We start from the raw sequence: 25459 nt of genomic DNA, 5'->3' as shown, positions 1-25459 counted from the left end.
TGGCTTCACATTTTCAGCTCAGATCACCAATGTCAGCAAAACCCTTTCCCACCGTGTGTCAGCCGTGGACAGGTGGAAGATGGAGGGCGGCATGCAGGCCTCTCTGTCATGGAGCAGCTGGGCTGGTGCTGATGAAATCACCATTGATCCACCCCGTAGTATGGACTGTAGATGATTTCTAGCTTAGACACATTTGTAGGCAATCTTTTGGGGAATGGAGTGTAATCACTGTATTGGTCAAAAATATTCACACTTCCTGTTTTTTGTTTTTTGTTTTCTTTTTATTCTGCACATGGCTTGGAGCAATGAACACCTAAGATTCCGGATACATTTCTTTAAAAAGGATATATTGCTTGTATGGCTCAAACAGAACTCCTCATAACAAACAATCTTTCAGTTTCATGAGTAAGGTTGTGGTCCTCAACTTTGACAAGAATGGCAGCCTCACTACTTATTTATCAAAGAAAATGGCTCCAAAATGGAAACTACACATCTCTTGGGCTCCAGAGTCCAGGATGTTATGTAGCTGGTGAACTTCTCAGGCAGATAAACTTATAAGGCTTGAAAAATCTGTTGACTGGTTCCCTTGCAAATTCCAAGAAGTAGATGTATACAGTGATGGGTATTTATCTTTAGGGAAAAAATGAAGATTGAAAATAAGAAAAAAACAATATTTGAATAAATAAATTCTCATCACACAAATTTTTTTAAAATATCTGTCTTTTCTCCTCACCAAAGATGATGGTTATGGGTGTTTTAGCCTGGAGAAAAACAAAAAAATCTTTGTCCAAATACATATAAACCTATAAAAGTATGTTTAAATTTCTCTACATATTAAGGATTTTACCTAGTTCTCCAATTAACAATTAGATGATTTTATACATTTTTCAATTCAATCTATTTGTCAGATGTGCTGTATTCTTAACAGGAATGCTCAGTAATTCTCCACCAAGGAGGAAGTCAGATGTGGGGAGGGGTGTGGAGCTGCCATGAGAGAGCAGGTGTTTCTCTCCCCCTCCCCTTAGATGGTGAGGGAGGAGAACCACTGACACAGGAGAAGTCCTGGGGTGCTGTGATCATTGTTATTCTCTAAGGCAGACATTTCACTCAGAGATGAGACTTCAAGGGTGAATTTCCAACACTTGGAACAAATACTTCATGAATTTACCAAAAGCCTGATTACCTCAGATGTAAGTTGAGATGATTTAACACACAGTATTTCAAGAAGTTTATTTTTAGGAAGATAATGGAAAACAAAGTTTATCCAAGCACTATGAGACAATAACTTAGGTGAGACATAGAAACGCATTCCAATACAGCAAATTTAAATAGAAAGGAAGGCGAGTGCCTAGCTGGTAGTTTTATGCCTCATTCTGTGAAAGCAGAGATAAAAGTCAGGTTACATGGGAGCCATGTGAAGCTTTCTTTGCTGCGCACTCCTGCCCTTACCTGTGAGCACACGGTATGTGTGTGAGTGCTCTGTCCCAGGCCTGATTCTTACCCTTTGGGGCTCGTGATGCAGCCAGCTCTCCGTGAAGTCCATCTCACATCTCAGTACCCAAGGCCTCTTTAGAAAATAAAATTTATGTAGGAAATAAACTGTGCTTTTATGTTGTTACAAAACAATAGAAGCGGGACCTTCACCTGCCTTCCCTGTTCTCAGCAGTTTGAGATGACATGTGGGTGCTCACTGTCACCTCTTAGAATCACATGTTACGCCTTTTCCAGGATAGTCCCCAGTGAAAACCTCCCAGACTGTGGAGGGAGCATTTGAGAGCACCACGAGGGCGATGAGACTCAGGTAACGGCAGGGACTAAGGTGAAGGCTCCTAGGGAGGAGACCCAGCAGGGGTGCCTGATCCAGACTGGGGGATCTGGAGTACAGGGTTTTGTCATGAAGAAAGCAATTTTAATCAGGAAACAGCTAGCTTGGTGAGAGTGAATTGGGGAGGCAGAGAGTTCTGGGCAGATAGAACTGTAGGTGATAGATTCGGAAGCCAGAGACCCTGGAACATTCTAGGAGCTTGAAAAATTTCTGTGTGGGTCCAGTTAGAGTAAGGGGTGGTCGCGAGGTGGGACCCAGCATGCTTAGGCGGGGAGATGCTGTTAATGGAAGGCTCTATTAATGATGGGTAGGGCCAGAGGATTATGAAGGAGTCAATACTAACTTCTAAGGACCTTGCAATACCCACGCAAATTTGCATTTTATTCCTGGGGGGATTCCTGTAGAGAAAAGAAAGATCGGCCTGGCACGGTGGCTCACGCCTGTAATCCCAACACTTTGGGAGGCTGAGGGGGGCGGATCAGGAAGTTAGGAGATCGAAGCCATCCTGGCTGACACAGTGAAACTCCGTCTCCACTAAAAAAAATATACAAAAAATTAGCCGGGTGTGGTGGCGGGCGCCTGTAGTCCCAGCTACTCTGGAGGCAGAAGCAGGAGAATGGCGAGAATCTGGGAGGTGGAGCTTGCAGTGAGCCGAGATCGCGTCACTGCACACCAGCCTGGGGGACAGAACGAGACCCTGTCTCAGTAAATAAATAAATACATAAATATAAAAATAAATAAAGAAAAAAAAGAGGAAAGATCCAGGAGACAAAAAATGGAATCCTGTCCGATGAAGGGTACCTTTGCCTCAACAGTGAGCCCTGGGCAGGTAGTTTGTCCCATGACTTCTCTTTAGAGGCCCGGATGCTGTTTTATGCTGGGCAGACAAATAGGTTTAATGGAGAGATTTTAATTAATAAACCTAAAAAATGAAAAGACAACATTAAAAAGAAGAAAAATGCTTGGTGGTTTCTGATTTAGGTCTAGAGAGGGCATTAATACATCACTACGATTTTTTTTCTTTTTAGCCTTATACATATTTTTCCTTTTAAAATCTAACTATGTGTCTAAAGTTAGCAGGGAATTATAAAAAGAGAAAAAAAGTCATTCTTCATTCTCTCAGTCTAATTCAACAAATGCTTAGGAGTTAATGAATTTTCTTCAAACCTTTTCCCCTTAGGAGTGAGTGTCTTACCACATTTGTATTCATATTATATACACAGTTTAAACCCAGTTTTTCATATAACATTATGTCATAGACATTTTTCTTATTATTGGAGTCCATAGCCATCATTTTAAGTAAAAAGATAATAATTCATCAAGAAAGTACACTATATCATATCTATTCTCCTATTCTTAAGTTATGATCACCTTTTTGCTACATAAAGGATCTATTTTTGTGGGTCTTCCCAAGAGTTTTGAATTATGCCTTTGGGAATTGATTCCAAGACCTGTAATTTCCATTGAATGTGTATCAATGTACTTATATGTCTTTTTCTTCATATTACCAAAATGTTTTCCAAATGGATTATACCAATCTACACTCAGACTATCTGCTCCAGAGAAAAATAGCCTTCTGGGGAACTTGTGGGGACTTCTCATCCACACTCCATGCTCTACGTTGTATCATCCTTCTTGGCTGTGAAGAGAAGTCTGAGCAAGGCAAATGCTATGGAAGCCCACCAGATGGACACATATATGAATAGAGTTTGCTTCTGGCCACATTTTCACCTTTAGGAATTGTCAGGATGCAGTTCTCTATGGTGTCTCTGCATCTCAGACTACATTTATCTAGCAGCATTAGAAGCTAGTGTCTCCCTTAAGGGCAAAGGGCAGACTTGTTTTGTGATCAAGATAATAAGGATAGTGTCTCCTTCAGAAACAAAGTTTGGGCAGGTTTGCTAGCAGCCCCATTAAGGTTAGGGGTTTGGCACCCCATGTTCCTCAGCTGTGATGCAGACCCCATTGTACATGGCAATCACCTGGGCCTACCTTGGGGACATATGGAACCGATGCAACAAGAAGCTCATGCTGCCTGTTGTGCTGTGACTAATAGGCTGTCTAGATCCATTCCCCACCCATGGAATCTACAGAAGGGTGGCTAGCCAGCCCAGAAGCTGCAGTGGCTGCTGCTCCTGAGGGATTCCTTAACCATGAGACGACAGGTTGTGAAAGTATGGACCGACAATATCTGGGCAGAAGAGGCTGCAACCAAGGGCAGAAATGTGCCTGGCTTCTGGTACAAACTACAGCACCTATTATTTATTGTGTTAATTTTCTGAGGGCCTATGTAGCAACTACTCCTGTTTGCTTGTAGAAGACCTGAGATCCAGGAGTCAGATACACTCAGATGCAACTGCCGGTTTCAGTGCTTACTCCTTCCATGACCCTGAGCATGGTACTCTCTATGCCTCAGTTCCCATGTATGAAACAGAAATTGTAAGAGAATCTCACAAATTTGTTTAATGAGATGATATAGTGAAGTGCATGGCATTGTGAACTGGCTCATAGCATATACTGAAAATATGTTACCTAGTACTTCTTTGCTGCTTGATTATAAGATTTGAACAGCTTTTCATTCTCCAAAGACCAGATAATTTGGTATACAGAAAAATCTTAATTGGTAATCAAACCCAGCCTTATAGTTTTACTGATTGAAAAAAGGAACGCAGTGACTTGCCTTCTGCTAAAATGGACACCAAGTTAGTACTGGGCAGTATTAGCATACATACCTCCTCAGTATCAGCTCAACTCCCTCTCTACTGGAACTTCAATTCACCATGTAGTAATCGAGACAGAGTGAAGTGTTCTGTAGATAGGAAGTAAAGAGAGACAAGATGGAATTAAGTTTAAAAACACATAGAGAAGCTAGGGATTGCCACAGGACCACTCTTAAAACTAGACAGACAGAGGCTGGGTGCGGTGGCTCACACCTGTAATCCTAGCACTTTGGGAAGCAAAGGCGGGCAGATCACTTGAGGTCAGGGGCTCGAGACCAGCCTTGCCGACATGGAGAAGCCCCTTCTCTACTAAAAATACAAAAAATAGCCAGGTGTGGTGGCATGCACCTGTAGTCCCCACTACTTGGGAGGCTGAGGAAGGAGAATCACTTGAACCTAGGGGGCAGAGGTTGCAGTGAGCTGAGATCGAGCCACTGCACTCCAGCCTGGGTGACAGACAGACGGAGACTCTGTCTTAAAAAAAATAAAAATAGACAGGAAGCAATTTGAAGTATTATTGAGATAATATTTCTGATAGAAAACAAAGGCTTCAAATTCTATGGACTAAGAGTAAAATAGCTTATTTAGAAAGGTGGTTCTCAGGTTCTCATTCTGAGACAATTCACTTTTGCTATTACAAGTAAAACTAAATTTGAATGTTGCCTACTAAAATCACATAACATGAAAAGTTGCAATAGGATAGAAGACATACACAAAAGCAGAAACATGTTATTAAAAGAAGATATGCAAACTCAAAAGTAAAATAGCATAAATTCATAAATGTTGAGTAGAACACATCTCAAAACTGTCTGTACCCACAGTTGCATTGTTGTACAAGTCATAGAATATTTCCTAAGCTAATGATTAGGAAAGCCTTATGCAAGCTATAAATCCATCAAAACATGTAAATTAATATAATTAATAATGTAAAGTAATATGATTAATATTATAAATAATACTGCGTAAGCATTTTCTTAGGCTAGAATATGCTCTGGTAATAACACCTATGTCTTAGAAGGTTGATGCAATAATGGTTTGCATTTCTTAGTCATGAAAATTCCACTGCAGTTCTTGGCAATTTTTCAGGGTAGCCCTCCACGTAGTAATTCAATGATTCTTATCGCTCTGATCTAGTGCATCTACCACTTCAATGTGAGACATCCTTGATCACCATGACAGGGGAAGACAGCTTGAAGTTTGCAGCCGATCTTGCATATGTTGGCCCCAAATAAGCATACTTTGCTTACATCCACAGCCTAGGGCCACAGCTAACTAGTCAAGAAGAGTGGGAAATAGGACAGACAAACTGAGTGCTTGGGGGATCCCCATTCTCATGAATAAAATTGTTAAATTATTGTCTGTGGATGATTTTTTTTCTAAGAAAGCACCTAACTGCGCAATGAATTTGGAAAGAGATTCGTGCAAACATTCCTTAAAATTCAGATGAAAAGTGGTGCTTGGTGTGATAAAGGCTTAATTACCAACAAAATTCAAATCTCCAAAACACGTCATTTCATAGAATTAATAAGCAAGGTTTTTACTCTGTTGTGAAAGTTAGTGTGGTTTTAAAAGTGAGGGCTTATAAACTGGTTAAATAAAACATTCTTCTATCAAAACGCTATACAAACCCTAAGAATAATGCAATAGAGCTGTATGGGCTGATATGGTAAAAGCAATGCACAGCAAAATGTGGGAAGAGTGTGATTCCATTTCTGTGCATGCATTCCTGTGTACACACATGCATGGTTGGTCTTCATTTTCCAGGATCTCTTGCAGCCAGGTGTGTCCATGTAACAGAGTTCTAGCCCATAAACTATGAGCAAAATAGCTGTATACTGTTTTACAGATTCCAGCTTGGCCCGTAAGCTCTGCTCTAGCCATCTTCCACGAGTTTCTCTTCTACCTGGGCTTCTACTCAATATGAAAAAAGCTGGGCCAGGCACAGTGGCTCATGCCTGGAATCCCAGCACTTTGGGAGGCCAAGGAGGATCACAAGTTCAGGAGATCGAGACCATCCTGGCTAACATGGTGAAACCCCATCTCTACTAAAAATACAAAAATTAGCTGGACATGGTGGTATGTGCCTGTGGTCCCAGAGGCTGAGGCAGAAGAATCGCATGAACCCGCGAGGCGAAGGTTGCAGTGAGCAGAGATCGCACCACTGCACTCCAGCCTGGGCAACAGAGTGAGACTCTGTCTCAAGAAAAAAAAATAGGAAGAAAAGAAAAGAAAAGAAAAGAAAAGAAAAGAAAAGAAAAGAAAAAAACTGAACCTTGCATCCCTGCTTGGAAGAGGGATGCCCACCAACAGGAACACCTCTTTTATACTTTATGTGAGTAAGAAATTAAGCTCTAGTACCCTTCAGCCTTTATGCATATTAAAGTTTCCCTGTTCTACAGCTATCTTACTTGGACTAAAAGAAATTAAAGTCTGTAGTTGCTCCATGAGGGAGTGAGATGGAGGATAGTGGTGGCACTAAGTGCCCTTAAATTGTTGAATTAAGATCTTCAAAAATCAAAGATTAAAAAGGAAATAAAACAAAACACTGATCGTGTTATACACTTGCTTATTTGCACTTATCTCTTTCTGCTAAATATTTAATATTGAAGAGAAAACAAAAGAAATCATTTAGTTGACAAGCACGTGTGTCAATTATATAACCAATATTTTAACTTAAGCACTTGGAGCCTCAGCTTCACCACTTGAAAGCAAGGTCTTTTAGCTTAGTGACAACTACAGTATCTTTCATAAAATGTCTTTAATTACAGGTTTCGCATAGGCATGTGGGTGAATGATCATCAAACTCACAGTCAAACACAGGCATCTTGAGAAAGGAAAAGTTCAGTGCTGATAAACAATATTACTTGAAACAAGGAGAGGTGAAAATGTTAGCTTCCTTTAACTTAGAGACATAGGGCAATAAAAAAATACCATTTTGGGGTTTTGAAAGAGTGTGTTTGTGTGTGTGTTTTTGTGTGTGTGTGAAATACACATAAAACAGAGACTCTAATGATTACAAAAAAAAAGAAAACTAGAGTATATAAAAACAAACAATGAATGTGAAATGTTTCTTAAAATGCTAATTAAAAAGAAGGAAAAGCAGCTGCCTGACCACAGCATAATGGTGTAAACACACACACACACACACAACTTGTAAAATTCCATACTTTCATTCTCTCTGGTGAATTATATCTGATTTAGAACTCCAAAATTATTCTTATTGTAACAATCTCCTTTGTTTATCATTGCCTATTGAGAAAACTTTTGTCACTTTCAACAAACCAATAAATCCCACTGATGCTGCTGAACCACAACAAGCTGTATTGAAAGTTTGGCACGAGGAAGTGTCACATTACCTACGCTCCAGTCTGTTGTCAGCTCCTCTCCTCATCAATGGTTGTACAAATAATCCTTTATCCAAAAAAAGCTTTTATTTCTGGGATAAACCATGAAAGGGGTGCTATGATACATGTATCCCTAGTGCCAATTCTCTTTTGAATATTCTAGATTCCCTCAGCATGTATTCTCAACCATGGTTCTCCTTCAATATTCTTACCTTTAAAAATTTTCACCCTCTTCCCATCTCCTCCTGTTTTTTGACAAGGTGGGTATATGATAGAGCTTTGTATTAGTCTGTTTTCATGCTGCTAATAAAGACATACCCTAGACTAGGTAATTTATAAAGGAAAGAGTTTTTGGTTTTTTGTTTGGTTGTTTTGTTTTGTTTGAGACAGAGTCTTGCTCTGTCGCCCAGGCTGGAGTACAGTGGCACAATCTCAGCTCACTGCAAGCTCCGTGTAAAGGAAAGAGTTTTAATTGACTCACAGTTCCACATGGCTGGGGAGGCCTCAAAATCATGGCAGAAGAGCAAGGTACGTCCTACATGGTGGTAGGCAAGAAGCTTGGGTAGGGGAATTCCCATTTATAAAACCATCAGATCTTGTGACACTTAATCACTACCATGAGAACAGTATGGGGGAAATTGCCCCCATGATTCAATTATCTCCACCTAGCACCACCCTTCCTACATGAGGATTATTACAATTCAAGGTGAGATTTGGGTGGGGACACAGCCAAACCATATCAAGCTTAGAGAATCAGACACTTGGCAAAGAATCTTTATAACCCTAGTAAGACCTACCATGCATTGAAAGCCAACTGTTGAAACAATGAGTAAAGTCCATTGCTTATATTACCTCTGCTCCTTATGTACTAGTGTATGAAATGGGTATCTCTACCTGTTTCTCAGGTAAGGGAGGAAGTTGGGGCTAAGATGGGTCAAATAGGTTGCACCTGGTTTTACACCTAATCAAGATCAGAGCTGGGAGGTAAACCCAGGTCTACTTTAAATACCATTTTCATTCCAGGAGGAAAGATATCCATTCACTTATTTATTTAATCATTCAGAGAGTATTTGGGATCCTACACTGAAGGGTGTTTTGTGATAAATTCAAAGTCAGAATTTCTTTCCAACACTCATTCTGCAGTTAAGATGGGACACAATGATCGAAAACAGGAGAACATGCTATATTTCCCCATGCTTCAGCCCTAGGCACAAAGGTCTTCTTATAGACAGAGCTCCACTGGCTCAAGTGACCCATGAACACAGGAAAAGGAATACAGTGCAGTGAGCTAATCCCAGACTGATCTTATATATCCATCCTATGTCTGAACCACTTAATTTTTTTACTCAAATAAATCAACAGAGTGCAGAGTCAGCCTTCTGTGGGCATCTCTAGAGTAATTAGAATAGGTTCTAAAGGCTCTCTTTGTCTAACTTGGTGTGGAGGCATTGCTGACACTTTACCGTGTGATAACGGGCAAGTGACAGCCACAGACTCATCAGTTCACACATCCCTCACCTGGTATTTCTAAAGCCGTTGTACTTTTTTCTCCTATTTTTTAAAGAAATGTTTTATCATAAGAAATTTGGCGTGTTCAGCTTTTAAAATTTTTTTCTTATGCATTTGTCCAGAATGAAATCCCTTGACACTATCACATTTGTCCCAGACACAGCTTTTGGACAAAATAGCCTTTACAGATCATTCAGAGGAATATTCATTGAGCAGTAAGTGAATTACAGTCAGTCGAAGCTTGCATAAATTACAGCTTCTGAGTGAAGGAAATAAGAAGAAATACATGATGAAAGCTGAGGCACATCAAGAAGCCCATCACCTAAGATTATTGTATCTCATGACATATTCCCCTAAACATGCTTCTCTTGGCTTCCCCTGTGCCATAACATGTATTCTATGAGAAAATGATAATAATTCTTGATTCCTCATGCTGACCTCCACATTTCACAGGTCAAGTAATGTTGAACATTTTAATTCCCAAAATTGCCTTCAATACATCCTTTCAATGCACTATCTCTCAACAGAGCAATTGAATTTTATTCTCCACCTACCCCAACATATGCACACACATTTGTCTCTATTGTCTTTGTGGTCAGCCCTTCACCGTTGTATTGGCAGAAGAATCTTCTACGTGACAAACTAATTGAATCACTGCCTTGGTCAAAGTCCTTTAGTAATTCCAAATTGATCAAAGCATAAAATCCCCAAAAGTGAAAAAATGTCCCCACATTCTGTTCAAATTGTCCTTCCATCCTTATTCCCAGAACGTTAATGTTTTAAAGAAACCAAGCTGCTCGCTCTTTCTAAAGCACATCCTGTCCTTTCACTGGGCTTATCCTGAACGGACCAAACAGAATGCTCTTCTTTCTCTTCCCCACCTGCCTGAATCTGGAACTTTTTTCTGTTTTCTCAGGTTGAGTTAGTTCTGCCCACCTTTGAGTATCAACACTTGACATATGCCAACCACGAATGGTCCTGACACCCTGATGGGAATGACTCTCCTGTTTGCTTCACTCACAAAAAATGAGCTCTTCCATTTAAAGGGCCATTTCACTTTCAGTTGTTATTGAAATATTTCATTAAAAATATTTTTGAATGAATGGATGGATGAATCTTGAAAAAGTTTGATTAAAATATGGTGCCAGCAGTCAGTAGCAGTTATGTTAGTTGGGGAGTGAGTCAGAGTATTGAAGGTCTCTTCCACACGGTCCCTACATAGTGGTCTTCCTGGCCTTGACCAAGCCTCCCATCATCAAGGGGAAATTCTGCCATTTCTTCATCATCATTTTCTTATCTGTAGGCCCTAGTGTCTAATGACATCGGATGAACCAGATGCTTAGTTTCTCCAGTAATGTTTTTGTCCTTTCTTGAACAAAAAGTTGTATAATGTTACTTAATCATATATGATTTTTTAAAAAATTGTATAATATTACTTAATCATACATGATTTTCTTAAAAATCATATAATGTTACTTAATATACATTCTTTGTGATGGGACAAAAATGGCAACTTTATTAGAGGAAGAGTTAATGTAAAAACCAACAATCTATTCTAGTTGCAATCCTCATTCAAAAATTCAAATCAGCTGATAAAATTGACATAAATTTTCAGATGTAAAACAAAGACATCTTCATCCTCTTAGTCTCCAGATAGATATCACTCGCCTGGAAAATTTTCTCTGACTCCTAGATTTGGGAGAAACTCACTGCTATGAATTGTCCCAGCACCCTGTTCTTACCATGCGACTCATAATAGCGGTAGCTATTTATTTCTTGTCATCCTTCCATACCTATCTAGGAACTCCTTGGGAGAGGGACAGGATCTTCCTAACCACTGTATTCCTCATGCCTAGTACAGTGATGGCACCCAGCAGAATTTCAGTAATAGGATTTAATGAAAGAACAAATGAATAGAGTTTGCTGGTAGAAAACAAGGCTAATTTTCAAACTTTCCCTGCTGACATGAAGAAGAAGGTATTTTCTTTAGCACCAACATGGTTTTTTTTAGCGCTCCCCAGCACTAAAGTGGAAATATGACAATGTACAGTTCACAGGAAGTAGATATTTCACACTATGATTAGTCTTTTTGGGTTGTTGACTGAACCAATCTTAGGACTTTAAAAGTCATAGGAATGCTGTAGCCCTATAACCATGAGTTCATGGCTGGCTGATTAGGCTCCTGAGACTAAAGCAACAGACACACAATCAAACCTCCTACTCTTGCTGCCTAAATTTTATTTATTATTTTTATTTATTTATTTATTTATTTATTTATTATTTTTTGAAACAGGGTCTTGCTCTGTCACCCAGGCTGGAGTGCAATGGTGTGATCTCGGCTCACTGCAACCTCTGCCTCCTGGGTTCAAACAAGTCTCCTGTTTTAGCCTCCTGAGTAGCTGGGATTAAAGGCGGCTGCCACCACGCCTGGCTAATTTTTGTATTTTTAGCAGACACGGGGTTTCACCATGTTGGCCAGGCTGGTATTGAACTCCTGACTTCAGGTGATCCACACACCTCACCCTCCCAAAGTGCTGGAATTACAGGTGTGAGAAAACATAAATGAAAACTGCAGTAAAGTAAACAAAGCAAAAGTGACAATAAGGAGTTGAAGGCAGCTGAGAGTTGAAAGTGTCCTGCAAAAGTCTCAAACTTTGCCGTTTTACTCAGAGAACTCTCTAGAGCCCTGGTCTAAGGTCCAGACAGACATGGTATTATCTGACTTTCTGTTCCCAAATCCCATCTGATTACGTTGCAGCCTCAGTTCTTTATCTGCTTCCCAGCCTATGTGGGTTTAGTGAATGACTGGCTCCCTGAAAACCCATCAGTCCAGATAGTGCCTTTCAGGGGAACCTCTTTCCTCCCAGGCTTGCACAGTGTATTTCAGCTGGGATGCCTCCTGATGACTCCCTCTGGCTGGTTCTGCTACATTCGCTCACTAACCTTTAGATACTCATTCATTATTAATGCAAAAGTGAGTGGTCATTGCCGAGTTGCAGTGGAAAGTCACACTTAACTTTCAATGCCATCTTCCTCTATTCCTGAAAGATGCTATTAGAATTAGGCAGGATGTTATAAGCTGAGAGAACAGCAAAGGAAAAGCATTTGCCTGCCTTCCAACCTCTCATAGCAATGATTAGAACACATTAAGGATTCTTTTCATTCTAGTAAGTATTTTTCTAGGTTTGCTCGAAGACCTAAATCAAGTTAGGGTAGGTTTTCGTAAGTGCCCGTGGTTTGGGCTGAAACCGAAAACTGATTCAAATGATGCAACTATTATGAAAGTTTTTCTGTAATAAAGTAATCATAAAATTGAAATTATGAAATGACTAGTGTTCACTGCCTTTCCATTTTCCAAGTAATTATCTGACGCTTCTGGGGTTTAGCAGATTTTTCTGCTAAATTTTTATTAAGATGAAAAAAGAAACATTTGTAAATAGCACCAAAGGTAGGATGTATTAAAAAGATACAGAGATGCTCAAAAGGCACTGAAATAAACTCTGTTTAATTTCTACTGGGGTCTTGCAAGCTTTTGGACACCCGAGTCAAATATTAAAACAACATTAGGGATTTTTTCTTAAGTTCAGAAACCCCCACCATCTAAGCAAAACATTTAAATTCTATTTTGGCCTTTGTTAGAGTTGGAGCATCATCAAACAGTACTTTTTCTAATCTGACATTTTAGAGGTTGGCAAATAATGACCATGAGCCACATTCAGCCCACTGTCTGTTTTTCTAAATACAGTTTTATTGGAGCACAACCACACCCATTTGTTTATGTCTTATCTGTGGGTGCTTTTCACACCTCAATGGCAGAGTTGAGTAGTTGCAACAGAGACCATATGGCCTGTGGAGCTGAAAATGTTTACTATCTGGCCCTTTACAGAAGAAGTTTGACAATGCCTGCTTTAAATAAAATATGCATTCTATTAGCTGGAGCTAGGCTTTTACAGATTATTAAAATATAACTAAATCCAATCCTTAACTTTCTGAGCTGCCATTACTCCCAAATATATTCCATTTGTGGCTGATAAAAACAATGTTTTTTTATTTTCTTTACCTCTCAAAAAATGCACTGAAGAAAACCTAACATATCAGAAGACCTGTCTATGGAAAAATAGGGGGAAAAGTCTCCTAAGAACAACCTCAGAGGGTTTTTAGAAGAGCAAACATTGCCCAATTTGTTCCCAACCAGTCCCATTTCTGTTGGTAAAATAAGCTCACAGCTTCAGTCATTACTCTTTGGGCCAGCAAGATCAAAGATGTGTTTATGTGAATGTGCCAGGGAAGGAGACAAAAAGCAGAGGTTCTCCACCATGGCTGCATATTGGAAGCACCTGGGAGATGAAGACAGTTCGAAAGCCAAGTCCCTCCCCAGGCCAATTAAATCAGAGTATGTGGAAATGTGGCCAGGGCAGCAGAATGTTTTCAAATTCCCCAGGTGGTTCTCCATTGCAAATAGAACTGAGAGTCGCTGGGTTCCAGTAAGGAAGGGTGCTATATGGAACAAGGACGTCACTTAAATTTGGGGGTTTTCCTTTCCACTGTAAAATGAGAGGGTTGAAATGAAGTTCTCTGAGGTCATTCCCGTCTGTGATTATAAGTGCAGTTCAATTGAATTAAGTTAATTTCCCCAAAAGAGGAAGCATGGAGCATTTTGACACCTTCTGTTATGAAGAAATATGTGGAATGGAAAGTGTTCAGAGCACGAATGGGTTCACTGCCGTGGGAACATGGGAAAGAAGGCTTGACGGTATTTCTGCTACTACTCTGTGGTTCAGTACTTCAGAAAGAAGAGAAGCCAGAACTTCTCTGGGACCTGTGTCAGACGCATGCTGTTACTCCTGCTGGCCTTTGCAGGCACCTCCAGTTCTGGTGGTTCACTTTTAGTTAACAGACAATAACCGAACACATGGTCTGAGGCTCACACTGTGCAGAGAGAGGGTGAAGCTTCTCAAGGGTGAATATTTTCTCTAGAGGAAAACAATGATGGGATAGATTCTGGTTCTGCTGCTTACCAGCTGTGAAAGATGGGATTTATTCATTCTCTCTAGACATCAGTTTTCTCATCTGCACAATAAGAGTAATAATCATCTCTCTATTCTGGTATCCTACAGAGGATTAAATAAAATAATGCATCAGAAGGCTTGGCAAAGTGTCCACCACAATGTAGGCTAAACAAAGAGTATATCATCATTACAATCATTTTCATTATTATTACTGTAATCATCATGATGTATTGGCAACACACAAGTGAATCAAAGGTACTGGCTACCAGTGATTTTCAATTTGTGGTTACAAATGACACCTAACAGGGCTGACTTTGTTAATATTTGAGGGGCTCTATAATAGTAAGATGGGAAGGTGTCTTTCTGTATAAAATACCTCAGACATTACGAGGGAGCCAGGCATGGTGGCTCCCGCCTGTAATCCCAGCACTTTGGGAGGCCAAGGCAGGTGGATCACTTGTGGTCAGGATCTTGAGACCAGCCTGGCCAACATGGTGAAATCCCATCTCCAAAAACACAAAAATTAGCCAGGCGTGCTGGTGCGTGCCTGTAGTCCAAGCTACTGGGGAGGCTGAGGCAGAAGAATCACTTGAACCCAGGAGGCGGAGGTTGCAGTGAGCTGACATCATGCCACTGCACTCTGGCCTGGGTAAAGGAGTAAACTCCATCTCAAAACAAAACAAAACAACAACAACAGCAACAACAAGGCTAGCAAAGGGCAGCATGTATGACAGGCAGGATGCACACTAACTCCCATTCCCTCCCCCACTGCAGAATGTACAGCATCGCATGTGCAGATGGTTATTACACAAGTGTGTGTCCATAAGCAATCTAGGGTGTATTTTGAATGCTTTTAAAGCTTCCTATGAATAGTAGCATATTAAATGGATACTGGTGAAACCTGGATTTTCACTCAACATTAAGTTTTTGAGATTTATCCATATCAACACACGCCATGCAAGCCCACAGGTTCTAACTGCTATATTCTATGTCACTTTACGATTTTGCCATGATTTATTTATCCTTTCTTATGTGGCTGAATATTTGAATCATTTCCATTATTCTGTATTACAAAAAAAGAAATGTTGCAGTGTCCATTTTACATGTTTCCTTGTGTACAAGTGTGGGAGTCTCTTAGTGCGTTTACTGAGGAGCTTTATCACACAGAATACGCCCATCTTTAAATTCTCAGTCTCCTTTCCGGGCTCATTGTTATCTCCTGGATTTTGTAAGTATCGGTGTGCCCCACAGCTCAGTTCTTGCATCTCTTCTCTTCTCCACCTGCATTTAGGTAATACCACCTGGTTCCATGTCTTTAAATACCACCCAGGATTACTATCTCCAGTCTGGACATACTTCCTGAAGTCTGGGTTCATACATCAACTTGCTTACTTAGTATCTTTGTAGATATCTAAAGGGACATATGACGGACATTGTAAATGCTCGCCAATGGGGTTTCTCTTCCAGGCACACAGACTGCATTTCTCATCGCACTTTCACCAACATGGGAGAATGTGACTACTTCTTGTTGAAAAAAAATAAGAATGTACCACTTGTCTTTGGTTCCCTGGGAAATCGAGTCACAGATTTGGTATGGGAGGTTATTGGGCCAGCCCTTCAGGAATTCACCTGTATGGGAGTTAGAGGTGGAGATCTGGGCAGAGGGAAGACTTGAACTGAACTGTGATTCATTTCCAGCAGAGCCTTAGCTGATCCCGCAAGGGCCCTGGAGGTGAAATCGCATCTCAGAATTGTTCCAGATGGAGGCATGAGCTGTGTCTTTTTCCTCCCATGTCAGCCATCATTAGAAGTGGGCAGCTTCTAGGGAGAGGACATTTCCTTGTGCTAGATGGCTTTCTTTATCTGAGAAATTTATGGGGAGGGATGTCCCGGGGAGCCACCCGACACTTCAACAACAGGGATAATAAATACCTCAGACCTCAGGGGGAGTGATGAGCAACACACCCCCACATCCACTGCACACTCCTAAGCTGAGGTGGTAAAAAAGAGCCTGCTCAGTTTTCAATCTTGTACTTCATTCAGCAATGAGTGTGAAGACCATGAATGGCCCCCATCTCAAATCCTTCAAGGAGCTACAAGGGCTTAAGTCATCTGAACCTGTATCACTTCTCCAACCTCACCTTGAACCATTCATACTTATCGTTCTCCAGTATAGAATGACCCCCCACTCCACTCAGCTATTCACTAATTCCCTCACTTCTTTCAAGGCACTGCTCAGATGTCATCTCATTGTTATGAGCCCTTCTCTGATCACCATCTATTTCAAAAAATATATGTGAATAAATTTATTTTTTAAATTATTTTCCAGAGCATTCATGTCATCATAAGACACATTACAAATTTATTTTTAAACAAATAAAAGACTAGCCCCATCTAAGCATAACTGTCTGCACTTCTCACCTACTGCAACTGGAATAGCCACTGCATTCAATAAATGTTTGTTGAATAAATGAATTGAATATAGTAGGCATTAGTGTTAATGGTTTGGGGATTCTTTTGAATTTTCTATTAAAATATGTTATTTGCATATAATAGCAATTTTATCTATTACTTAAATGTTTAAAGTTTTCATTTCTTTCTTTTTTTTTCTTTTCATATTGCAATGGCTAGGACCATTCTTGAGGATTGTTTTTACCACAAAAAAAGAGATAAATTTTATCAAGTTATTTTTCTGCATGAATGGAAATGGTGATGCAACTAATAATTAATGGAGTTTCTGATGTCTAACCATACTTAGGTCTCTGTGATAACCTTCCTAATCTTTGAAATCTATGTCAAAATGCAGAGCTCAAGAGATATAGACCACAGATTCTGATGGCAATAAGACCTTCTGATCACAGAGAGAGCTGTTTTTCTATGAGAGACTATTCCACGGACAGAGGTGGCGCTTTTGAAGCATAACCAGGCAAAGTCAATGCCTTCAGGAGCCAGACAGATGCTGTGAATCAGGGAAACAGACTGAGGGTGGAGATGGGCACACGGGAGATGCCACCTTCATACATGGTGCTCAGAGGAAAATCAGTACCGACTGTTGCCATGTGAAAATGAAGGCCCAGTGTGGCCAGGTCATCTGATATTTGTCTAGACAGACTAGAAATCTGGATATTTAAAACGTAAAATATTCTACTTTTTAAGTACCTTTTAATAAATTCAAATTTATACAAGAAGACATCATGTGGTCCAAAAAAACTCATCTCTAGGCCAAGGAAGAATTAAGAGTTTGAGACTTCCAGTGTACAAGAATGAGTTTATGTCCTTCTCTGATTTTAACAGGCATTTTAACTCTTTTATCTAGATTTCTTCACTTCTGAATTATGGCTAACAGTAATTGTCTCACTGAGTTGTGGTTTGTAAATAAGTATCATAAGCATTAAAGCAATGTTGAAAAGAAGGAAGTTCACTATGACTCCCAACCGGTGAAGGCATCACACTGGAGGAGAGAGGAGAGAGGGAAGCTGGAGCTCATGTCCATCACGCCTTGAAGAAATCCACTCTGAGAGCAGCCCATGAGCCACATCAATACAAGTAGCCATAATAAGTAACGGGAGCTGTTATATACATTTTTGTTTTCTACTGTCCAGTACACCCAAAATCTAATGTTTATCATTTAAAAAAATGGTGAAGTTAAGAACTCTCCTTGTGGGTGGCCGCGTGGGTGAAGTCACATGTGTGACAGGGATGATCCTACTGCAGGTGGCAGTGTGGGTGCTCAGGATATTTCCGGATGCCACTTTTCCATCTCCTTTATCCCTTGTGTCTGCAAGGCGGGCCCTTTACGGATCACCAAGAGGAAAGATGCTAGAGTCCAGTCCTAAAGGAGATTCCAGTCCCAGGAAAGCCATCAGACACATAGAGAGGACACCTACACAAGGCAGTGTGGGGGTGGGGGCGGGGGGCTGCGGGGCATCTAGCCATGGTAGCCATGGCCCTGCCAGCACTCAGCCTCTGTGCCCTGGTCCCCAGCATATAAAATGACGATTGTACAATTCCAGTGTTGAGGGACTGTACCAACCCCGATGAGATTAATGCATGTGACAGGTTTTAGCACCTGGAACTTAGTGAAGCCTCAATTACTATGTATCTTTGGTATTCTTATTAAAGACAAGCAAAATACCACGGTGAAATAACACGGTGCTCCAAAGAGAAGACGTTTGGAATGCCTGCGGGGATGGACGGCCAGGCCATATGAAAGAGGACTTCACAGATGGAGAGGGTTTCCACAGGCAGTGACGCTCATGGTACAAAGCAGAAGATTCTCCCAAAATAAAGACCAGGGTGAACAAAAGCACTCAACTGGGAATAAACTGTGATGAACAAGTTGAAGCCGGGTTATTCCAAAAATCATCTGGCTGTGGCCAGGATCAGGACTCCACCACCACCCCCGGCCCCCGCCCCCACCCAGTGTGTCCAGGTTCTGTGGTCACCGTCATAGAGCCAAGGGCATTTCTCTAGTGCATACAGAAGCCTGGTTCCAGCACCCTGCGTCAGGACCACATTCCTGGGCGGAGACTCGGGCAGACCTGTGGGCTGGGACTAGGAGTGGTGGGCCCTGAGGGCCTGGAGAAACACCAAAGCGAGCTGAGTGCGCGCGCGGAGTGCACACCTGCGGTGACGCCCGGCCGGCCTGGCCTCACCTGCCCGGAAGGCTCTGCGGGCGGAGAGGGCGCATCTGCGCGGCCCCACGGAGCCCGGCTCTGCGCGCCGCTGATTAGCATGCAGGGCCCCCGCGGCCAGGCGCGCAGCTGGACGGCAGCTTCCCCCCGGCCTTTGAAAAAGCCTCTCTCACAGCTGGAGAGAAAAGAGCCCCCGCGCCACTGGCCGGCCATTGTGAGCGGCAAAGAGCCCTTCTTTGGGCGGAAGCAGAAGTTGGCCCAGCTGTCGAGCATTTGAAATGTAAAAGGCCGAGGCGCGCGGGAGGGGAGGCGACAGAGGCCGCGGCAGAGGAAATGCAAGCTGCCCCGGGGGTGAGGAAACCGTGGGCTGAGAAGTTCACTTTGAGCAATCAATAAGGCTTTCAGAGACCAGGACAGAAAAAAACAGTTCCGGAGAGAGGGCAGCGAGAGCGGCCAGCCCCAGCCGCGCTCCTGCAGCCGGGCTGCGCCTGCCACTCGCAGGCCTGCAGCCCATCCCAGGACGCAAGGAGCGGCTGGGCTAGCCCAGAAGTCTAGGGCTGACCGGGGTGAACTGAGAGATGGACTCATTGCGAGTGCCTGGCTGTTCCATACACCCCACTCCACCTCTTGCCCACAGTGACCTCCTCCCTAGGGCGCATGAAGCCCTTGCACCCCGCGCTTAGTCTCCAGCCCACGCTGCTCTGTGACACGGCTGGGGTCTCCACCTCACTCTCTGTGTCAGGGTGTGCACTTCCTTCTCCCTTTGGGTCCCCTTGCTCTCTGAACAGTCCTTAAAAGCACGCTCAGTCCCCTCCTGCCGCTCTTGCTGAGTCCCAGCCTCAGGGCTCCACGTAGAATCAGGCAACCCCTGCTGGTCTGTCTTTCTGTTGACTTTTGACAAGCCTCCACCATGGTTCCTATCACTAATCAACTGTGTGTCCACCACCCAGCCTTCCTCAGACCTTGTGCAGTCTGCTAGGAATCCGCACGCCACCACCCTGACCTTAGGGAGTTGGCAGAGGAGGGCAAATGCAACTATCTGGTGACCTAATCGAGGCAGGGGCCACCCAGGGCAGTCTCTTTAGGACAGTGGAGAAAAGAGAAATACAACTGTTTACTGCCTGGCTGCAGCACCCTGCGCTGTATCCTTTCAGGACGCCTGTAACACCCCTGGCTTACCTGCAGTAGACAATTCACCGTGTTGTTCCTTCTAGACTGCAATATGGGGCATGTCATTTTTGTGTCCGACACTCCCTTTAAACCTGCTTGGTGGGCTAGTTCCTCCTTTTGTCCCTAGATGAAATTTAAGGTAGGCTTCAATACTTTTTTGTTGTTGTTTTTTTGGACATGTAAAAAATCAGGTTACTTGATATCACAAAAACAATATAGCAGATAAGTAACAGTTCATTCCCATGTATTAATCCAACTTGAAAACTTGATTGAAGCTGAGACTTCTTTCTCCAACCACACCTGAAGCCTTGGTTGGCTTCTTCAGCCCCTCTCTGCCTAGGGCTGCTAAGGTCCTCTGCTCTGCTATGACTGTAATACCTGACTCCACCAGAACTGGGATTTGGAACACTAGGGAGTTGAGAGTTCTTACTTGACAACTTCCGTGCTCAGTGGGCATCCACACACGGGGCAGCAGGTGTGTAAAGGGACTCTTCCTCTCTTGGGATGCTTTTGTGGGGTCTCCCAGTCTCCCCTTACCACGGAGGGTGAACACTCGGAGTTCCCTTGATGTGGGAATGCAGCTTTTGTGTATCAATCAGAATCCAGACTGGAAAGCAGAAACATACTGGTTATCTTAACAGAGAGAATTGAATTTAGGGAAGGGGTTAGACAGGCATAGCAAGAAATGACCTGCTCGAAGTCTGGGGGAACAAAGGAAAGAAGTTGTGTTGGGAGAATCTGGGAGCTGAGAGGAGCCTCACAGAGCCAAGCCCCACAGGAATGGAATGTGTGCTGCTGCTGGTGCTGATAGTTCTAGGATCTGGAGAAGTCAGGGAGCTGGGACTCAGCTTCTGATGTGGGAGTGCTATTGAGGAGGGAGAATGGTTATAGAAATGTTAAAAAACCCAGACACTGAACTGAAATCCGACTCAAGAAGCACTACAGGGCAAGCGGTATTGCTCGGATGCTGCTGGCATAAGCAGTGCGCAAAGAGAAGGGTGGTGTCCCCTTTCCCTCCTCCAGCCTTACTGTTTCCCTTAGTAGCACATAGGCAGAACTGATCAGGGAGCCCTGGCAAAGGGGAAAGGTGGTTTGGCCTCTCCCAGCCTTCCCACCGTGACAAGGCTAAGCAGTGAAGGTTGAGTTTGGAGCTGAGAAACTAGCTTAATAATCAGAGCACCATGCCTGGTGGTCACTTATTTCCTTCCTCAGAACCTCGGCATCTGGGTATGCTTTGATCAAGGTCTTCTTGCCCTAGTAAGGGTCTCTCTTTGACGGGAGTTACTCTAGCACACTTTTGCTCCCGTGTTCATGGCTCACGTCTGTTCCGCGGGGAAAAATCCCACGTGCTTCCTCAAAGGTCAGCCTCCTCCACTCAGCGGTCCCACGGCTGCCTCCCACTTCTCACCCTCCCAGTATTTGCGGAGCGAGCCAGACGTGACTTCACTGTGTCCACCAAAATACAACCACAATATCTGGCTCGTGAGTGATTTCTTTAAAGTGCCTTTTCTTTGACTGGGGATGACAAGGGAGAGCATCTTCATTCTTTGTAGTTCATCAAAACTCATCTGAGGAAAATCTTGCTCCAGCTCTGGCTTCCTTCAAACCTTTCATATCATCAGATGGGTGAGGGGTGATGAGCTGTGCAATTGGTCTTCTCTTCCTCTTTCTAAATCCAGCCTCAAGATCTTGCACCTCGTTGTGGAGTAAGACATCTGTTGATTTATTAGTTCCTCAACTGAAATTTCCATTTTATCATTCTGTTAAATTTTAATTAATAAATTCCAAATTAGAGGAAAATATTATATGTCTTACAAAAATGCCATTTATACCTTCTCTTCCTTACCATGTATGAAGCTTTATCAAGATAACAAAAAGGAAAAGACATCATCGTTTCCCATGGTGTTTTTGTGACCTAAAGGGAAAGTAGAAATACAAAGAAATCATTAGAATGCAGGATGCGCAAAGTTGGGAGGAGCTATGTGGAAGAATGCACAGATGAAGGAACTTTGGAGTTAGGTTTTAAACAAAAAATTTGCTGGCTAGAGAAAGAGCTACAGGGAGCTAGAGAAAGAGCTACGTCCGTCCCTGTCTTTCCAGGCAGGGATGGGAGTACTTACAATGACTTGGGGCTGTAAAATAGAAGATGTCAAAGGCAAAGAAGAAATATGACAGTGATTCCACTGCACTCGGTCATATATACCAAGCAGCTTGCTTGGGTTTTGGAGGTAATGATGAACTAAAATCAAGTCTTGATGACTCACTGGGTGTGATAATTGAGGGGCAAAAAAAGTCAAATAAATCACGAAAATATTTTATATCACAAAATTGGCTTTATAGCCTTGCCAATGGCTAGATATTAGGGAGATTGGAAGGCTGGTGATAAGATGTCCCAGATGATGGGTCTGTGATGCCTGTGGGGCCTGTGGGTGGAGACATTCAGCATCAGTGCGATAAGTCCAGAAGTCCGGTGAGAGCCCAGGCTGAAAGGAGAGCTGGACACATTGCCTCACCGCTTTCAGTTTGCTTTGCTCTCCATCTCATGACACAAAGCCATGAAAAAATGGGTATTCGAATATGACTTTTGAAACCACTGATACATAAAATAGACACATCTCTTATGTGCATGCTCATTTGAAATAAAGCTGCATAGGTGATAGATAAACCTTAGAATATTTGGTCCAAATGGATATTTAAGAGACCACTGAGGAAGACTATTTCTAAAGACATTTCACCTCTCCCCACCCCAAGCAACACCTTAATTACAGCCACACAAAAATGCATTCAAAATCCAAATTTTGTTGCAACACAGTGCCATCTAGTGTTCAATCCGACTAATACCAAGAGACAATTCCCCAGGGATGCATTGAAGCTCATTCGGACTGAAAACCTGACCCGGGTGTTAAAGGAAAAGTTTTAGATGAAAAGCAAAGTCTCATTGTCTAGTCTTCCTTCTAGTGAGTGGTAATGCTCTGTATGTGTTTAGACATAAAGAAGCAGATGTGTTCATCAAGTTTGATTCGGAAGTCGTGCTTTTAACCTAGAGCCATGCACCTTCCTCATCTGATGAAAGTCTTCCTGGCATATTTGCTTTTGAATAAGATTTTTAGTTAATTATAATATAATTATTAGAATTTGGATTATCCATTTTAATTATAGTCATTAAAATTTTATGTAAATATAATTACCCCAAATATTATGTTGGCTTGAAATTGCAAGATTGGTTTGCAGATAGTTGTATTCTCAACTGCTAGACTCAGAAGGGCAGAGGCAAGAAACGTACCTATTTGTCTTAGCGGATTTTCACATCTGGAACAGCATTGCAGAAGTGTGTAGCTTGGTGTGGGAGCCTTCCCCAGGACGAGCGTAACCTGTGTTCTTGCCCCAGTGTTGTCATTAACCTGCCGTATGACCTACAGCAAGACGCTTAAGCCTGTGAGCCGTGTCTGTAACTTAGGAATAAAACAGGGTGATCTTTCTCATGTGCTTACCATAAACTCGATGATATGCTTCCTTTATTTTATTTTGTCAATCTTCACTACTTCACTTTGCTATACATGTTATGTTCCTTGTTTTATAAATGAAGAAATTAAATTCAGAGAGGAGAAAGTGAATATGCAGGCGGTCAGCTTGTCCGTGGCAGACCTGGTGGGGTGAGCCAGGGTGACCTGTGTCCAAGGGGACCCTGTCTTTGTATGCATCGCAGATATCATATACATCGCATCATTTAAATTCGAGGTACAGTAAAGCATCATTCAGTAGAGCCTGAAAGTTTCTTCACAGAAGCAAATGTTAAGAGGATTTCATAGATCTACCCCTATCTATGTCTATTTCTGTATCTCTATCTGCCTCTATTTCTATTGATTATCATTTACCAAGCTAGGCATCTACCTATCTACGTATTATCTCTGCCCACATTCATCTATCTATTCGTCTATAAGCTATATCTGTATTATATAGCTATCGATCTGTTTATCTGCTTATCTATCCATCTATCTATCATCTGCCTATCCCCAAGAAGCAATTGGTTCAAGGAAAAATATGTTATTAATAGTGATGCCAACATTAGATGATTTGGGTTTGGCAGTCTCCGCAAAGGAATGCTAATCTTAAGAACTTTATTTAAATACCCCATTTCATGTTTCAGCTCATGGCAACCTTACAGTTTAGATATTGATATTTACTACTGTCCAGATAAAAGGCTGATAATACCTGCTTTCTAACTTTCCTGTGATAGAATTCTGTCTGGAATTAAAATAAAATCAAGCTGTTATTCTTCAAGACCTCACGTTAGTAAAGGTTTTTATGAGTTTGTACTACCCAACTTTTGTGACTGTGAAGGGAGTGGGTTTTCTCATGTGCTGCTGGTGTGGGTATAAATGGGGCAGCCTGAGAGTAGAAATCTGATGTTATTGTTCGTGTCTGCAAATCTGCATCCCCTGTCTCAACAGTCTGACTTTTTATTCTACAATTTTTTTCTACTCATGCAAGTACAAATACTTGTATTCACTGCATTATTTATTGCAGTATTTAAAATACTAACTTTGAAGACAATGCGATTGCCCAGCCAAAGAATAATATTAAATAATGTAGAGTCCATCCATATAACACCATGCAATCTATGTAACTGTTACAAAATTATGCTATATTTGTGTGTACCGTCATATAAGGAGATCTAAGACATAATCTTCAGTGAAAAACTGCAAGTTGCAAACCTATATATTGAAAGCATATGTGCATGTGTGTTAACCACATTTACAGAGTGGTTATTATGTTCCAGACATTGGTCATAGAAGTTTACAAATATTAACTCATTTAATTATCATAATAGCACTATGAAGAAGGAGCCATCATTAATCCTCTAGATAAGGAAACTGTGACGTGGAAATGTTAAATAACTTGCCAAATGTACCTCTCTCTCTCTCTCTCTTTCTCTCTCTCTCTCTTTGTCCCTCTCCCTGTCCCTCTTCCTACCTCTGTCTCTACTTCCACATTCGCGTATGCAATGGTGTCTACATAGGTAGCAACATTTTTTCTTTTCTTTTCTTTTTTGAAATGGAGTTTTGTTCTTGTTGCCCAGGCTGAAGTGCAATGGCATGATCTCGGCTCACCATAATCTGTGCCTCCCGGGTTCAAGCAATTCTCCTGCCTCAGCCTCCCAAGTAGCTAGGATTACAGGCATGTGCCACCATGCCTAGCTAATTTTTGTATTTTTAGTAGAGATGGGGTTTCTCCATGTTGGTCAGGC

General features: G+C 41.9%; 1 long non-coding RNA gene across 1 annotated transcript in view, besides 2 other annotated features; it reads right to left on the bottom strand.

Annotated features, from left to right (window-relative positions):
• Positions 1-259: 259 nt before the first annotated feature.
• The window catches only part of LOC100506274 (uncharacterized), a 28994-nt gene continuing 3794 nt past the window's right edge, over positions 260-25459 (bottom strand). Inside the window, exons 2-6 of the long non-coding RNA NR_038432.1 lie at positions 23495-23663; positions 22058-22126; positions 20221-20334; positions 4558-4634; positions 260-630 (exon numbers count right to left, since the gene is read on the bottom strand). This is a non-coding gene — a long non-coding RNA (uncharacterized LOC100506274). The remainder of the gene's footprint in view (positions 631-4557; positions 4635-20220; positions 20335-22057; positions 22127-23494; positions 23664-25459) is intronic.
• Positions 18961-19694: an enhancer, noted in NCBI's record as "OCT4-NANOG-H3K27ac-H3K4me1 hESC enhancer chr2:7570951-7571684 (GRCh37/hg19 assembly coordinates)". NCBI's record gives its function as "activates a minimal SCP1, AML or CMV promoter by ChIP-STARR-seq in naive and primed H9 embryonic stem cells {active_cell/tissue: H9 hESC(naive and primed)}" and the evidence as "EXISTENCE:reporter gene assay evidence [ECO:0000049][PMID:30033119]".
• Positions 19695-20428: an enhancer, noted in NCBI's record as "H3K27ac-H3K4me1 hESC enhancer chr2:7570217-7570950 (GRCh37/hg19 assembly coordinates)". NCBI's record gives its function as "activates a minimal SCP1, AML or CMV promoter by ChIP-STARR-seq in naive and primed H9 embryonic stem cells {active_cell/tissue: H9 hESC(naive and primed)}" and the evidence as "EXISTENCE:reporter gene assay evidence [ECO:0000049][PMID:30033119]".

Source organism: Homo sapiens, chromosome 2, assembly GCF_000001405.40.
Source record: "Homo sapiens chromosome 2, GRCh38.p14 Primary Assembly".
In the NCBI taxonomy this organism is placed as follows: Eukaryota; Metazoa; Chordata; class Mammalia; order Primates; family Hominidae; genus Homo; species Homo sapiens.
The sequence above is the reverse complement of the archived record's forward strand: the minus strand, read 5'-3'. Positions and strand labels throughout refer to the sequence as shown.